Genomic DNA, 18,131 nt, shown 5'->3' on the forward strand with positions numbered 1-18,131 from the left:
AACTTTAACTAAAACTTTTAGCCAGGGAATATATATAGATATATATATTTAGATATATATATAGATATATATATTTAGATATATATATAGATATATATATTTAGATATATATATATACACACACATATATATTTAGTTATATATATATTAGTTATATATATATTTAGTTATATATATATTAGTTATATATATATTTAGTTATATATATATTTAGTTATATATATATTTAGTTGTATATATATTTAGTTATATATATATATTTAGTTATATATAATATATATAACTAAAATTTTTAGCCAGATCATATATATAGACAAATATATATTTGAAAATTAGCGGAGGGAGCCAAGATGGCCGAATAGGAACAGCTCCGGTCTACAGCTCCCAGCGTGAGTGACGCAGAAGACAGGTGATTTCTGCATTTCCATCTGAGGTACCGGGTTCATCTCACTAGGGAGTGCCAGTCAGTGGGTGCAGGCCAGTGGCTGCGTGCACCGTGCGCGAGCCGAAGCAGGGCAAGACATTGCCTCACTCAGGAAGCACAAGGGGTCAGGGTGTTCCCTTTCCTAGTCAGAGAAAGGGGTGACAGACCGCACCTAGAAAATCGCATCACTCCCACCCGAATACTGCGCTTTTCCGACGGGCTTAAAAAACAGCGCACCAGGAGATTATATCCAGCACCTGGCTCAGAGGGTCCTAGGCCCACGGAGTCTCCTGATTGCTTGCACAGCAGTCTGAGATCAAACAACAAGGCGGCAGCGAGGCTGGGGGAGGGGCGCCCACCATTGCCCAGGCTTGCTTAGGTAAACAAAGCAGCCAGGAAGCTTGAACTGGTTGGAGCCCACCACAGCTCAAGGAGACCTGCCTGCCTCTGCAGGCTCCACCTCTGGGGGCAGGGCACAGACAAACAAAAAGACAGCAGTAACCTCTACAGACTTAAATGTCCCTGTCTGACAGCTTTGAAGACAACAGTGGTTCTCCCAGCACGCAGCTGGAGATCTGAGAACGGGCAGACTGCCTCTTCAAGTGGGTCCCTGACCCCTGACCCCCAAGCAGCCTAACTGGGAGGCACCCCCCAGCAGGGGCAGCCTGACACCTCACAGGGCCAGGTACTCCAACAGACCTGCAGCTGAGGGTCCTGTCTGTTAGAAGGAAAACTAACAAACAGAAAGGACATCCACACCACAGGCCCATCTGTACATCACCATCATCAAAGACCAAAAGTAGATAAAACCACAAAGATGGGGAAAAAACAGAGCAGAAAAACTGGAAACTCTAAAAAGCAGAGCACCTCTCCTCCTCCAAAGGAACGCAGTTCCTCACCAGCAACGGAACAAAGCTGGACGGAGAATGACTTTGACGAGCTGAGAGAAGAAGGCTTCAGACGGTCAAATTACTCCGAGCTAAGGGAGGAAATTCAAACCAAAGGCAAGGAAGTTGAAAACTTTGAAAACAATTTAGAAGAATGTATAACTAGAATAACCAATATAGAGAAGTGCTTAAAGGAGCTGATGGAGCTGAAAACCAAGGCTTGAGAACTACGTGAAGAATGCAGAAGCCTCAGGAGCCGATGCGATCAAATGGAAGAAAGGGTATCAGCGACGGAAGATGAAATGAATGAAATGAAGTGAGAAGGGAAGTTTAGAGAAAAAAGAATAAAAAGAAATGAGCAAAGCCTCCAAGAAATGTAGGACTATGTGAAAAGACCAAATCTGCGTCTGACTGGTGTACCTGAAAGTGAGGGGGGGGAATGGAACCAAGTTGGAAAACACTCTGCAGGATATTATCCAGGAGAACTTCCCCAATCTAGCAAGGCAGGCCAACATTCAGATTCAGGAAATACAGAGAACGCCACAAAGATACTCCTCAAGAAGAGCAACTCTAAGACACATAATTGTCACATTCACCAAAGTTGAAATGAAGGAAAAAATGTTAAGGGCAGCCAGAGAGAAAGGTCGGGTTACCCTCAAAGGGAAGCCCATCAGACTAACAGCAGATCTCTCGGCAGAAACTCTACAAGCCAGGAGAGTGGGGGCCAATATTCGACATTCTTAAAGAAAAGAATTTTCAACCCAGAATTTCATATCCGGCCAAACTAAGCTTCATAAGTGAAGGAGAAATAAAATACTTTACAGACAAGCAAATGCTGAGAGATTTTGTCACCACCAGGCCTGCCCTAAAACAGATCCTGAAGGAAGCACTAAACATGGAAAGGAACAACCGGTACCAGCTGCTGCAAAATCATGCCAAAATGTAAAGACCATCGAGACTAGGAAGAAACTGCATCAACTAACGAGCAAAATCACCAGCTAACATCATAATGACAGGATCAAATTCACACATAACAATATTAACCTTAAAGGTAAATGGGCTAAATGCTCCAATTAAAAGACACAGACTGGCAAATTGGATAAAGAGTCAAGACCCATCACTGTGCTGTATTCAGGAAACCCATCTCACGTGCAGAGACACACATAGGCTCAAAATAAAAGGATGGAGGAAGATCTACCAAGCAAATGGAAAACAAAAAAAGGCAGGGGTTGCAATCCTAGTCTCTGATAAAACAGACTTTAAACCAACAAAGATCAAAAGAGACAAAGAAGGCCATTACATAATGGTAAAGGGATCAATTCAACAAGAAGAGCTAACTCTCCTAAATATATATGCACCCAATACAGGAGCACCCAGATTCATAAAGCAAGTCCTGAGTGACCTACAAAGAGACTTAGACTCCCACACATTAATAATGGGAGACTTTAACACTCCACTGTCAACATTAGACAGATCAACGAGACAGAAAGTTAACAAGGATATCCAGGAATTGAACTCAGCTCTGCACCAAGCAGACCTAATAGACATCTACAGAACTCTCCACCCCAAATCAACAGAATATACATTCTTTTCAGCACCACACCACACCTATTCCAAAATTGACCACATAGTTGGAAGTAAAGCTCTCCTCAGCAAATGTAAAAGAACAGAAATTATAACAAACTATCTCTCAGACCACAGTGCAATCAAACTAGAACTCAGGATTAAGAATCTCACTCAAAGCCGCTCAACTACATGGAAACTGAACAACCTGCTACTGAATGACTACTGGGTACATAATGAAATGAAGGCAGAAATAAAGATGTTCTTTGAAACCAACGAGAACAAAGACACAACATACCAGAATCTCTGGGATGCATTCAAAGCAGTGTGTAGAGGGAAATTTATAGCACTAAATGCCCACAAGAGAAAGCAGGAAAGATCCAAAATTGACACCCTAACATCACAATTAAAAGAACTAGAAAAGCAAGAGCAAACACATTCAAAAGCTAGCAGAAGGCAAGAAATAACTAAAATCAGAGCAGAACTGAAGGAAATAGAGACACAAAAAACCCTTCAAAAAATTAATGAATCCAGGAGCTGGTTTTTTGAAAGGATCAACAAAATTGATAGACCGCTAGCAAGACTAATAAAGAAAAAAAGAGAGAAGAATCAAATAGACGCAATAAAAAATGTTAAAGGGGATATCACCACCGATCCCACAGAAATACAAACTACCATCAGAGAATACTACAAACACCTCTACGCAAATAAACTAGAAAATCTAGAAGAAATGGATAAATTCCTTGACACATACACTCTCCCAAGACTAAACCAGGAAGAAGTTGAATCTCTGAATAGACCAATAACAGGAGCTAAAATTGTGGCAATAATCAATGGTTTACCAACCAAAAAGAGTCCAGGACCAGATGGATTCACAGTCGGATTCTACCAGAGGTACAAGGAGGAACTGGTACCATTCCTTCTGAAACTATTCCAATCAATAGAAAAAGAGGGAATCCTCCCTAACTCATTTTATGAGGCCAGCATCATTATGATACCAAAGCCGGGCAGAGACACAACCAATAAAGAGAATTTTAGACCAATATCCTTGATGAACATTGATGCAAAAATCCTCAATAAAATACTGGCAAACCAAACCCAGCAGCACATCAAAAAGCTTATCCACCATGATCAAAGGGGCTTCATCCCTGGGATGCAAGGCTGGTTCAATATACGCAAATCAATAAATGTAATCCAGCATATAAACAGAACCAAAGACAAAAACCACATGATTATCTCAAAAGATGCAGAAAAGGCCTTTGACAAAATTCAACAACCCTTCATGCTAAAAACTCTCAATAAATTAGGTATTGATGAGACATATCTCAAAATAATAAGAGCTATCTATGACAAACCCACAGCCAATATCATACTGAATGGGCAAAAACTGGAAGCATTCCTTTTGAAAACAGGCACAAGACAGGGATGCCCTCTCTCACCACTCCTATTCAACATAGTATTGGAAGTTCTGGCCAGGGCAATTAGGCAGGAGAAGGAAATAAATGGTATTCAATTAGGAAAAGAGGAAGTCAAATTGTCCCTGTTTGCAGACGACATGATTGTATATCTAGAAAACCCCATTGTCTCAGCCCAAAATCTCCTTAAGCTGATAAGCAACTTCAGCAAAGTCTCAGGATACAAAATCAATGTGCAAAAATCACAAGCATTCTTATACACCAACAACAGACAAACAGAGAGCCAAATCATGAGTGAACTCCCATTCACAACTGCTTCAAAGAGAATAAAATACCTAGGAGTCCAACTTACAAGGGATGTGAAGGACCTCTTCAAGGAGAACTACAAACCACTGCTCAAGGAAATAAAAGAGGATACAAACAAATGGAAGAACATTCCATGCTCATGGGTAGGAAGAATCAATATCGTGAAAATGGCCATACTGCCCAAGGTAATTTACAGATTCAATGCCATCCCCATCAAGCTACCAATGACTTTCTTCACAGAATTGGAAAAAACTACTTTAAAGTTCATATGGAACCAAAAAAGAGCCCGCATCACCAAGGCAATCCCAAGCCAAAAGAACAAAGCTGGAGGCATCATGCTACCTGACTTCAAACTATACTACAAGGCTACAGTCACCAAAACAGCATGGTGCTGGTACCAAAACAGAGATATAGATCAATGAACAGAACAGAGCCCTCAGAAACAACGCCGCATATCTACAACTATCTGATCTTTGACTAACCGGAGAAAAACAAGAAATGGGGAAAGGATTCCCTATTTAATAAATGATGCTGGGAAAACTGGCTAGCCATATGTAGAAAGCTGAAACTGGATCCCTTCCTTATACCTTATACAAAAATCAATTCAAAATGGATTAAAGACTTAAATGTTAGACCCAAAACCATAAAAACCCTAGAAGAAAACATAGGCATTACCATTCAGGACATAGGCATGGGCAAGGACTTCATGTCTAAAACACCAAAAGCAATGGCAACAAAAGCCAAAATTGACAAATGGGATCTAATTCAACTAAAGAACTTCTGCACAGCAAAAGAAACTACCATCAGAGTGAACAGGAAACCTAAAAAATGGGAGAAAATTTTCACAACCTACTCATCTGACAAAGGGCTAATATCCAGAATCTACAATGAACTCAAACAAATTTACAAGAAAAAAACAAACAACCCCATCAAAAAGTGGGCAAAGGACATGAACAGACACTTCTCAAAAGAAGACATTTATGCAGCCAAAAAACACATGAAAAAATGCTCACCATCACTGGCCATCAGAGAAATGCAAATCAAAACCACAATGAGATACCATCTCACACCAGTTAGAATGGCAATCATTAAAAAGTCAGGAAACCACAGGTGCTGGAGAGGATGTGGAGAAATAGGAACACTTTTACACTGTTGGTGGGACTGTAAACTAGTTCAACCATTGTGGAAGTCAGTGTGGCGATTCCTCAGGGATCTAGAACTAGAAATACCATTCGACCCAGCCATCCCATTACTGGGTATATACCCAAAGGACTATAAATCATGCTGCTATAAAGACACATGCACACGTATGTTTATTGCGGCACTATTCACAATAGCAAAGACTTGGAACCAACCCAAATGTCCAACAATGATAGACTGGATTAAGAAAATGTGGCACATATACACCATGGAATACTATGCAGCCATAAAAAATGATGAGTTCATGTCCTTTGTAGGGACATGGATGAAATTGGAAATCATCATTCTCAGTAAACTATCGCAAGAACAAAAAACCAAACACCGCTTATTCTCACTCATAGGTGGGAATTGAACAATGAGAACACATGGACACAGGAAGGGGAACATCACACTCTGGGGACTGTTGTGGGGTGGGGGAAGGGGGGAGGGATAGCATTGGGAGATACACCTAATGCTAGATGACGAGTTAGTGGGTGCAGTGCACCAGCATGGCACATGTATACATATGTAACTAACCTGCACATTGTGCACATGTACCCTGAAACTTAAAGTATAATAGTAATTAAAAAAAAGAAAAGAAAATTAGCACAGCTCCAATATGGGGATGGAAGAGAGATAGACTAGATATCTAGAGATCAGTTAAGAAAGTTCTTCTACAGTCAAGAACTGAGATAAGAGCCCAGACAATGTCTATGAGGATAGCCAGAGTGAACTAGGACTGATTGACTAAAAGATCATGAATAGGTATTACAGGGATAAGGAGATCACAAACAAAATCACAAAATCTGTTTAAATAACTGGGATGAGGATGAAGATATCAAGTGAGGTAGCATGTAGAGAATAAGGAAAAATATTGAAAAAAGGAGAACAATTGTTTGATGTACACACATTTATGTACCATAGGACACACCAAACAGTGTCTAACAGAAAATTGAAAAGATTACATCTAGATTTAGATTGGAACTAGAAGTGTCAATGTAGGAATATTTAGCCAATTAAGTAACAAGTGAAGTGATGAGATTGGGAAATGTTACTCAAGTGAAGGCAATCAGAGCAAGATGGCTGAATAGAAGCCTCAAGTGATCATCTCTCCTGTAGGAAGACGAAATTGAACAACTATTTACACAAAAAAGAACTTTCATAACAACCAAAAATCAGGTGAATGATCACAATACCTTGTTTTAACATCAAATTAAGGAAAAAGGCCCTGAAGATTGTAGGATATACAGCCCTTAATCGCCTACATCACCACCCCTCCATCCCCTGGCAGTGGCCACATTGTGCAGAGGGAGAATCTGTGCACTAGAGGAGAGAGATTGCAGTAATGGGGACTTTCCATTGGAACTCAGTGCTACCCTGTCAGAGTAGAGAGCAACAAGGGGAAAAACTCAGCCAACGACCATGGAGGGAGCATTTAGACCAGGCCTAGGAAGAGATAAATTGCTTATCCCAATGATTAGAACCTGAGTTCCATCAAGCCCTGCTACCATGGGCTAAAGCGCTCTGGCATTCTAAATAAAGTGAGAAGGCAGTCCAGGCCACTAGGACTGCAATTCCTAGGCAAGTCCTGGTGTTATGCTGGGCTCAAAGCCAGTGGATGTGGGGTGCACATGACCCAGTGAGACACAAGCTGGTGCACCCAAGGGAGTGCTTGCATCAGCCCTCCCATAACCCCAGGCAGCACCGTTCACAGCTACAGGAGAGACTCCTTCCTTCCACTTGAGGACAGAAGGGAAAAAGATGATTTTGTCTTGCAACTTGCATACTAGCTTACCTACAGTAGGCTAGGACAGCAGGCACAGTTCTGAAGCCCCCATTCCAGGCCCTAGTTCCCAGATGACATTTCTACAGACACCCTGAGCAAAAAGGAAACCTGCTGCCTTGAAGGGAAGGACCCAGTCCTAAGCAGGATTAATCATCTGCTGATTAAAGGGCCCTTGGGCCCTGAAAAATCAGCAGTGGTAGTGAGGCAATACTCACTGTGGGTTTTGGGAGAGACTCAGAGCCATGCTGGCTTCACATGTGACCCAGAACATTCCTAGATGTGTTAGCTATGTGGAGAGACCACAGTGGGGTAAAGGACCAAGCAGGCTCCTACAGTCCCCAATTCTAGGCCTTGACTCCTGGACGGTATTTCTGGACCTGCCCTGGCCAGAGGGGAGCCCACTGCCCTGAAGAGAAAGACTCAGGACAGGCAGCATTCACCACAAGCTGACTGAGGAGCACTTGAGCCTTGAGTGAACATCACTGGTAGCTAGATAGTACTCATTACAGCCCTGGGGTAAGGATGGCCAAAAGGAGTGGCTCCTCTGCTTCAGGAAAGGAGGGGGAAAAGTGGGGAGGACTTTGTCTTGCAACTTGAGTGCCAGCTCAGTAACAGCAGACTAGAGCACCAGGTAGATTCCTAAGGTTTCCGACTCTAGGCTTTAACTCCCAGACAGGATCTCTGGACACACCCAGGGCCAGGGAGAACTCACCATGCTGAAGGGAAGGACACAAGCCTGGCTGGATTCACCACATGCTGATTGTAGAGCACTTGGGCCTTGAATGAACATAAGCAGTAGCCAGGAAGTGGTTACCATGAGCCTTGGGCAAAACCCAGGGCTGTGCTAGCATCAGGTGGGACCCAGTGCAGTCCCAGTGGTGGTTGCCACAGAGGTGCTGGTGTCACCTCTCCCTCAGCTCTAAACAACTCAGAAAAGAGAGAGAGAGAGACTCCATTTGTTTGGGGGAAATTAGGGGAAGAGAACAAGGGTCTCTGCCTGGTAATCCATAGAATTCTTCTGGATCTTAGCAAAAACAACCAAGGCAGTATCTCCAAGAGTTTGCAAGAGCCACAGCGTTACGAGGTTTGAGATGCCCATTAATGAAAATATAGCCACAGTGACCAAAGACTTAGATCACAACACCCATGTCCCTTTAAATACCTGGAAAGCCTTCCCAGGAAGGATGAGTAAAAACAAGTCCACACTGCAAAGATTAAAATAAATACATAACTCTTCAATGCCCAGACACCAACGAAAATCTACAAACGTTGAGACCACCCAGGAAATATGACCTCACCAAACAAACTAAATGAGGTACCAGAGACCAGTCTTAGAGAGACAGGGATATGTCACATTTCAGATGGAGAATTCAAAATAGCTGTTTTGATGAACCTCAATGAAATTAAAGATAACACGGAGAAAGAATTCAGAATCCTATCAGACGAGAGCTGAAAAATACAAATGACATACTGAAGAATGAGTCAGAGTCTCTCAACAGTAGAACTGATAAAACATGAGAAAGAATTAATGAGCTTGAATATAGGTTATTTGAAAATAGAGAGACAAAAGAAAAAATAAAAAAGAATAAAGTATACTTACAATATCTAGAAAATAGTCTCAAAAGGGCAAATCTAGGAGTTATTGGCATTAAAGAAGTGGTAGATAGAGAAATGAGGATAGAAAGTTTATTCAAAGGGATAATAACAGGGAACTTCCCAAACCTAGAGAAAGATATCAATATTCAAGTATAAGAAGGTTACAGAACATCAAGTAGATTTAGCTCAAAGAAGACCACCTCAAGGCATTTAATTATCAAACTCCCAAAGGTCAAGGACAAAGAAAGGATCCTAAAGCAGCAAGAGAAAAGAAACAAATAACATACAATGGAGCTCCAATACATCTGTCAGCAGGCTTTTCAGTGGAAACCTTATAGGCCAGGAGAGAGTGACATGACATATTTAAAGTGTTGAAGGAAAACAAAAAACTTTTACACTAGAGTAGTATATCTGGCAAAAATATCTTTCAAACATGAAGGAGAAATAAAGACCTTCCTTGACAAACAAAAGCTGAGGAATTTCATCAACACCAGATCTGTCCTAGAAGAAATGCTAAAGGGAGTTCCTCAATCTGAAAGAAAAGGATATTATTGAGCAAGACAAAATCTTCAGAAGGTACAAAACCTACTGGTAATGATAAGCACACTGAAAACCACAGAATATTATAACACAGTGAAATATAATTACAACTTTTCACAGCATAAACAGTATAACAAGATATAAATAGAAACATCAGGCCAGGCACAATGGCTCATGCCTGTAGCCCCAGTACTTTGGGGGACCAAGGTGGGTGGATCACTTGCACCCAGGAGTTCAAGACCAGTCTGGGCAACATGGCAAAACCCTGTCTCTACAAAAAACACAAAAACTAGCCAGGCATGGTGGTGCATGCCTATAGTCCCAGCTACTAGGGAGGTTGAGGTGGGTGGATCACTTAAGGCCAGGAGGTCTCGAGGCTACAGTGAGCTGAGATCACACCACTGCACTACAGCCTGGATGACAGAGTGAGACCCTATCTCAAAAAGAAAAGAAAGAGACAACAAAAAGTTAAAAAGCTAGGGGAAGAAGTTAAAGTGTAGAGTTTTATTGGTTTTCTCTGGTTTTCTCTTGCTTATTTGTTTGATTATTTACACATTCAGTATTAAGCCGTCAACAGTTTAAATAATGAGTTATAAGATATTATTTGAAAGTCTCATGGTAACCTCATATCAAAAAACATATATCAGATATATAAAAAATTAACATATACAACCAGAGAAAATTATTTTCACTAAAGGAAGACAGGAGGGAAGGAAAGGAGGAAGAGAAGACCATAAAACAACCAGAAAACAAATAACAAAATGGCTGAAGTCCTTACAACATTGAATCTACGTGACTAAATCCTACAATCGAAAGACACAGATTGGCTGAATGGTTTTCAAAAACAAGACCCAAAGATCTGTTGCCTACAAAAAGTACACATAACCTGTAGAGAAATACTTAGTTCAAAAATAAGGGAATGGAAAAAGATATTCCATGCAAATGGAAACCAAAAAAAGAGCCAGGATAGCTATATTTATATCACAAAACATATTTCAAGACAAAAACTATAAAGAGACAAAATGGCATTTTATACTGATAAAGGGGTCAAGTCAGCCAGAGGATATAAAATTGTAAACATATATGCACCCGACACTGGAGCACCTAGGCATATAGAGTAAATATTATTAGACCTAAAGAGAGCAATAGATGCCAATACAATCATAGCTGGAGACTTTAATAACCCATTTTCAGCATTGGACACATCACCCAGACTGAAAAATCAACTAAGAAACATTGGACTTAATCTGCACTATAGAACAAATGGAACTAATAGAAATTTACAGAACATTTCATCCACCAGCACAGAATACACATTCTTCTCCTCAGCATATGGATCACTTTCAAGGACAGGTCATATGTTGGGCCACAAAACAAGTATTAAAACATTCAAAAAAATTGAAGTTACATCAAGCATCTTCTCTGACCACAATAGAATATAACTAGAAATCAATAACAAGAGAAATTTTGGAAACTGTACAAACACATGAAAATTAAAATATACACTCCTGAATGATCAGTGGGTCAATGAAGAAATTTAGAAGCTGTTCTCTCACAGCAGATTTTATAAAAAGAAATTAAGAAGGAAATTCAAAAAATTCTTGAAACAAATGATAATGTAAACAAAACATACAAAACCTATAAGATACAGTGAAAGCAGTACTTAAAGGAGAGTTTATAGTTATAAATGCCTACATCAAAAAGATATAAAATTCTAATAAACAACCTAACAGTGCATCTTAGAGAAATAGAAAAAAAGCAAACCAAACCCAAACTTAGTAGAAGAAAAGAAATCATAAAGATCAGAGCAGAAATAAATGACATTGAAATGAAAAAAAAAAATACAAAAGATCAACAAAATGAAAAGTTGGTTTTTTGAAAAGAGAAACAAAATTGACAAACCCTGAGCCAGACAGAAAAATGAAGAAAAGACCCAAATAAATAAAATCAAAGAAGAAAAAGGAGACATTACAACTGATACTGCAGAAATTCAAAGGATCATTACTGGCTACTATGAGCAAATACATGACAATAAATTGGAAAATCGAGAATAAATTAATAAATTTATAGACATATACAACCTAGTGACACTGACCCATGAAAAAATCCAAAACCTGAACAGACCAATAACAAGTAATGAGATTGCAACTGTAATAAAGTGTCTCCAGCACAGGAAAGTACAGGATCAGATGGCTTCACTGATGAATTTTACCAAACCTTTCCAGAAGAAATAATGCCAATCCTACTCAAACTATTCCAAATAATGGAGGAGGAATGAATACTTCAAAACTCATTCTACCAGGCCAGTATTGCCCTGATACCAAAACCAAACAAAGACACATCACAGAAAGAAAACTATAGGCCAATATATCTGATGAACATTGATGCAAAAATCCTCCACAAAATATTAGCAAACTGAATTCAACAACACATTAAAAAGACCATTCATCAAGATCAAATGGGTTTTGCCCCAGGGATGCAAGGATGGTTCAACATACATAAATCAATCAATGTGGTATATAATATCAATAGAAGGAAGGACAAAAACCTTATGATCATTTCAATTGATAATGAAAAAGTATTTGATAAAATTCAACATCGCTTCATGATAAAAAGAAAACCCTCAAAAACCTGGGTATAAAAGGAATACACCTCACCACAATAAAGGCTGTTTATGTCAGACCCACAGCTAGTATCATATTGAATGGGAAAAAACTGAAAGCCTTTCTTCTAAGATCTGGAACAAAATATGGATGCCCACTTTCACCATTGTTATTCAACATAGTACAGGAAGTCCTAGATAGAGCAACCAGACAAGAGAAAGAAATAAAGGCTTACAAAATGGAAAGGAAGAAATCAAACTATCCTTGACTGCAGATAACATGATCTTATATTTGGAGAAACCTAAAGGCTCCACCCAAAAACTATTAGAACTGATAAATTCAGTAAAGCTGCAGGATACAAAATCAACATAAAAAATCAGTAGCATTTCTATATGTCAAAAGTGAACAATCTGAAAAAGAAACCAAGAAAGTAATCCCATTTATAATAGCCACACATAAAGGAAAATACCTAAGAATTAACCAAAGATGTTAAAGACCTCTACAATGAAAACTATAAAACACTGATGAAAAATTGAAGTGGACACAACAAAATGGAAAGATATTTCATCTTCATGGATTGGAGGAATCAATATTGCTAAAATGTCCATACTACCCAATGCTATTTACAGATTCAATGTAACCCCTATCAAAATACCAATGACATTCTTCACAGAAATAGAAATAATAATCCAAAAATTAATAAGAACCACAAAAGACCAGAATTGCCAAAGTTACTCTGAGGAAAAAAAAAAAAAAAGGAAAATCAGAAGAATCACATTACCTCACCTCAAATTATACTCTAGAGCTACAGTAACCAAAACAGCATGGTGCTGGAATAAGAAAAGACACATAGACCAATGGAACAGAATAGAGAACCCAGAAATAAATCCATACATCTTCAATGAACTCATTTTTTACAAAGGTGCCAAGAATATGCATTAGGGAAAGGACAGTCTCTTCAATAAATCATGCTGAGAAAACTGGGTATCCATATGCAGAAGAATGAAAGTAGACCCCTATCTCTCACCATATAGAAACATCAAATCAAAATGGATTAAAGACATAAATCTAAGACCTCAAACTATGAAACTTCTAAAAGAAAACATTGGGGAAAGACTCCAGAATATTGGTCTAGGCAAAGATTTCTTGAGCAATACCTGATAAGCACAGACAACCAAAGCAAAAATGGACAAATGGGATCACATCAAGTTAAAAAGTTTCTACACAGCAAAGAAAACAATCAACAAAATGAAGAGACAACGATAGATGGATAATTTGCATCTATTTTTTCCCACATGTAAACCATCCATCTGACAAGTGATTAATAACCAAAATATGTAAGGAGCTCAGCAACTCTATAGAAAAAATTCTAATAATCCAATTAAGAAATGGGCAAAACAGGCTGGGTGTGGTGGCTCATGCCTGTAATCCCAGCACTTTGAGAGGCCAAGGCAGGCAGATCACAAGGTCAGGAGATCGAGACCATCCTGGCTAACACAGTGAAACCCTGTCTCTACTAAAAATACAAAAAAATTAGCCGGGCATGGTGGCAGGCGCCTGTAGTCTCAGTTACTAGGGAGGCTGAGGCAGGAGAATGGCGTGAACCTGGGAGGTGGAGCTTGCAGTGAACCAAGATCGCGCCACTGCACTCCAGCCTAGGCGACAGAGCAAGACTCCATCAAAAAAAAAAAAAAAAAGAAAGAAAAAGAAATGGGCAAACTATCTGAATAGACATTTCTCAAAAGAAGACATACATATGGCAAACAGGCCAATAAAAAGGTGGCTGATATCATTGATCATTAGAGAAATGCAAATCAAAACTACACTGAGGGCCAGACATGATGGTTCACGCCTGTAATCCCAGCACTTTGGGAGGCTGAGGCTAGTGGACCACTTGAGGTGAGGAGTTTGAGGCCAGCTGGCCAACATGATGAAAATCCATGTCTACTAAAAGTACACACAAAAAAAGTAGATGGGCGTGGTGGTGCATGCCTGTAATCTCAGCTACTCAGGAAGCTGACAAGAGAATTGCTTGAACCCGGGAGGCAGAGATTGCAGTGAGCTGAGATTGAGCCACTGCACTCCAGCTTGGGCAGCAGAGTGAGACTCTGTCTCCAAAAAATAAAAATAAAAATAAAACTACACTGAGATATCATCTCATCTCAGTTAAAATGGCTTTTATCCAAAAGACAGGCAATAACTAATGTTGGCAAGGATGTAGATAAAAGGAAACCCTTGTCCACTGTTGGTGGAACGTAAATTAGTACCACTACTATGGAGAACAGTTTGGCAATTCCTCAACAAACTAAAAATAGAGCTACCATATGATCCAGCAATCCCACTGCTAATTACAAACCCCAAAGAAAGAAAATCTATGTATCAAAGAGGTATCTGCAATCCCATGTTTATTGCAGCACTATTCAATAGCCAAGATTTGGAAGCAACCTAAGTGTCCATCAACAGATGAATGGATAAAGAAGATGTAGTACATATACACAATGGAGTACTATTTAACTACAAAAAGAATGTGATCTTGTCAATTGCAACAACATGGATGGAACTGGAGGACATTGTGTTAAGTGAAATAAGCCAGGCACAGAAAGATAAACTTCACATGTTCTCACTTATTTGTGGGAGCTAAAAATTAAAATGATTGAACTCATGGAGACAGATGGTAGAATGATGGCTACCAGAGGCTGGGAAGGGTAGCTGGGTAGGGAGAAGTGGGGATGGTTAATGAGTACAAAACTACAGTTAGATAGAATAAATAAGATCTATTATTTGATAGCACAACAGGAGCAACTATAGTTAATAACAACTTAGTTGTACATTTTAAAATAACTTAAAGAGTATAATTAGATTGCTTGTAACTCAAAGGATAAATGCTTGAGGGGATGGACACCCCATTCTCCATGATGTGCTTATTTCCAATTACATGTCTGTATCTAAACAGCTCATGTATCCCATAAATATATACACCTACTATGTGCCCACAAAAATTATAAATAAATAAAAAGCAGAAAAAGAATATATTCCCCATGAGAAGGTGGAATCCCAAAGAAATGGAAGAAGACAAATTAGTAAGGAAAACAGAGAGAACGGTAGGAGGGAAACTATGAGAATTGTGAGATAAAAGCTAAAAAGGAAGAGTAGTTCAACAGCATTCAACAAATTCAAGACCAAGTAAGATACATCTACTTGATTTAACAATTATAATATGAGTGGTGACCTTTACCAAGAGCAGTTTCAATATCAGTGGGGAGAACTTTACTGCAGTGGCTTGAAAAACAAAACAAAAATAAATAAATTATTTCAAGATCTTGTGAGGAATGCAAATACAGCAGGGAGTTACTCTGGGGTAAAGATGGCCTTTCAAACAAGTAAGAGAAGGGGGGATGATTGAATAAGTGATTTCAGGACAACTGGGTAGCCATTTGGTTGTGTTTATTTTTTTTAAAAAGCAGAGGTTATCCACTATTTCACTTGTTGCCCTGAAATACATTCCAGAAGGATCAAAATTTAAAGGTAACAAAATGAAGCTGAAAGAGTACCAAAAGAAAACCTAAGTGAAATTATTTATAATCATGCAGTGAAGAAGGCAAGCAGCACCCAAATATCAGAAATCATAACAGACTATTCAATCTGATCATAGAAAAAAATTAAAACTCTGTACTTCAAATATGCCAAGGCCCTCAGGCAACTGATAAACTAGGAAAAATAATTCATAACACACATGACAGGCAACAAAGGGCTAATAATTTTAACTTACACAAATTAGTGAAAACAATAACATATAATGGTAAAATAAGGAAATAATATAAGCAAGAAGCACATATAAAACCAATATTAGGTTGGTGTGAAAGCTATTGCAGTTTTTGCCATTAAAACTGCAATTACTTTTAATGACAAAAACCGCAATTACTTTCGCACCAACCATAATAGAAACAGGAAACAAATAAATGCTATTTTAATTGAGGCACTGTTTTCACCTATGAATTCACACACATGTGCATGCACATGCACAACACATAAAGCCTGTTTATAGCCTTTATTTGTGAGAAGGAATATGAGATGGGAGAGATGTTTACTTTTAATCCTGTATTTTTTTTGCTCAATTGATTTTGAAATAAAAAGACAAAAAGGATCTGGTAAAAAAGAGTAAGGAGAGGCCGTGGGCTCGAAGGGAAACCAGGAAGGTGTGGTAACCCAGAAGACAAAATAAGGTGTTATATGAAGAAAAGAGTAAGCAAGTGTGTCAGATGTTGCTGAGAGATTAAGTAAGGAAGTGAGAAATGACAACTTAGTGTAGTGACAGAGAGGCAACTGGAGACCTTGTTAAGTAAGACTGGGTTGTGTGGAGTAATGGAGATGAGCTGATTAGTATGAGTTTAAGAATTAGAAGGGAGAGAGGAAATAAGTACACAACTCTTACAAGGAGTGTTCCTTTAATAGAGAGTAGAGAAATGGGTGGCAGTTGGATGAGACATAATGTACAAGTAGTTAATGTTTTGTTTTATTTTGTTTTCATAATAGGAGATACTAGAGCAGGTAAATCTGAATAGCATTACATTAGACAAAAATGTAAACTGAAGAAGTAAACAAGTACACATATGTACACACATATACATACACACTCACACACACATACACACAGATATAGAAAAAGGACAAAAATAATAAGGGAAATGATAAATACCAAATTTTGGACAGTAGTTCCCCCAGGAGAGGATAGTAGGAAAATGCAATTGTGGAAGGATACTCTAGGAGCTTCACCTGTATCTTTTTTTGTTGAGGATCTAAAACAAAAATGGCAAAATTTTGAGGTTTTACACAGCTACATGGTGGCTACATGGGCAACTGTTATATTGTACTTTTCTGCATGTTTGGAATTTTCTAATAAAGAAGAAACAAAAAAAGTAGAAAATATTATTTCTGCCCTGAAGTCGGGACTATGTAGATGTGCAGACGGGATATGACATAGAAAGGCCAACATTTTTTTTAAAGAGCTTTCAAAGAAATAAAACCAGACAGAACAAAAATATAACGAGACAAGTATTGTAATTAAAAATGCACACTTTCCCCTGGCCATGACACCCTCATGAATAAAAGGGAAACTAATCATTACTCAGAGCACATACCTGCCAACGACCTAATTGTAGTTTTGCCCTTAAAATATTCAATATAGCTCACCAGAAACAAAACTGACAAAACTGCTTATGATAGTTGAGATATCTTGCATAAGTTCAAGCAATTTTATTCATAAGTATTTAAGTAATTCACAAATCTAATATTTCTCAAGCACCTATCTTAGATAATATTTCAAATAAAGATTCCAGTTTATGACCTAGCGTTTAATTAAAACCCACTGTATCACTCTTTCCTACTCTGTCCAAAAACTAATAGCTTTAAAATAATCAGATTTGAGATATCCTTAGCCAATTTCACACTACATAAGGTAAGTCTCACTTATGAATTAAACTGATGCTATATAAAAGAAATTTTAGGAGTTTCTCTAGTACTCTGTCTTCAAATAAAATTTTGATAAGTACTGTGGTAAGAAAAGAAAACTGACAGAAAGGATTAGTGAAAAATGCTAAACACGACAAAATCAAAAAACCGCAAAATCTAGAAAAACTGCACATAATTGCACTCCTCTAAATTAAATTATATATAGCAGCATTACAAAAATTCAAAATCATCTTGAAAATGCAAAATCTGAAGTTTAACAGAATTGTGTTCTTTAAAAAATAGTTTGTTAGACAAAAGTTGATTTTTTTAAATGTCCCAGAGTGTTAGATCATAGAATCATTTAGCTTATTCTCCTCTCCCACC

At 38.4% G+C, this 18,131-nt stretch overlaps 1 protein-coding gene across 4 annotated transcripts in view, besides 1 other annotated feature; it reads right to left on the reverse strand.

Moving 5' to 3' along the window:
• KLHL13 (kelch like family member 13) overlaps positions 1-18,131 on the reverse strand; it is a 219,528-nt gene that overhangs the window by 133,580 nt on the left and 67,817 nt on the right. The gene's annotated exons all lie outside the window — the stretch shown is intronic.
• Positions 786-1,286: an enhancer, noted in NCBI's record as "H3K4me1 hESC enhancer chrX:117166141-117166641 (GRCh37/hg19 assembly coordinates)". NCBI's record gives its function as "activates a minimal SCP1, AML or CMV promoter by ChIP-STARR-seq in primed H9 embryonic stem cells {active_cell/tissue: H9 hESC(primed)}" and the evidence as "EXISTENCE:reporter gene assay evidence [ECO:0000049][PMID:30033119]".

Source organism: Homo sapiens, chromosome X, assembly GCF_000001405.40.
Source record: "Homo sapiens chromosome X, GRCh38.p14 Primary Assembly".
Lineage (NCBI taxonomy): Eukaryota > Metazoa > Chordata > Mammalia > Primates > Hominidae > Homo > Homo sapiens.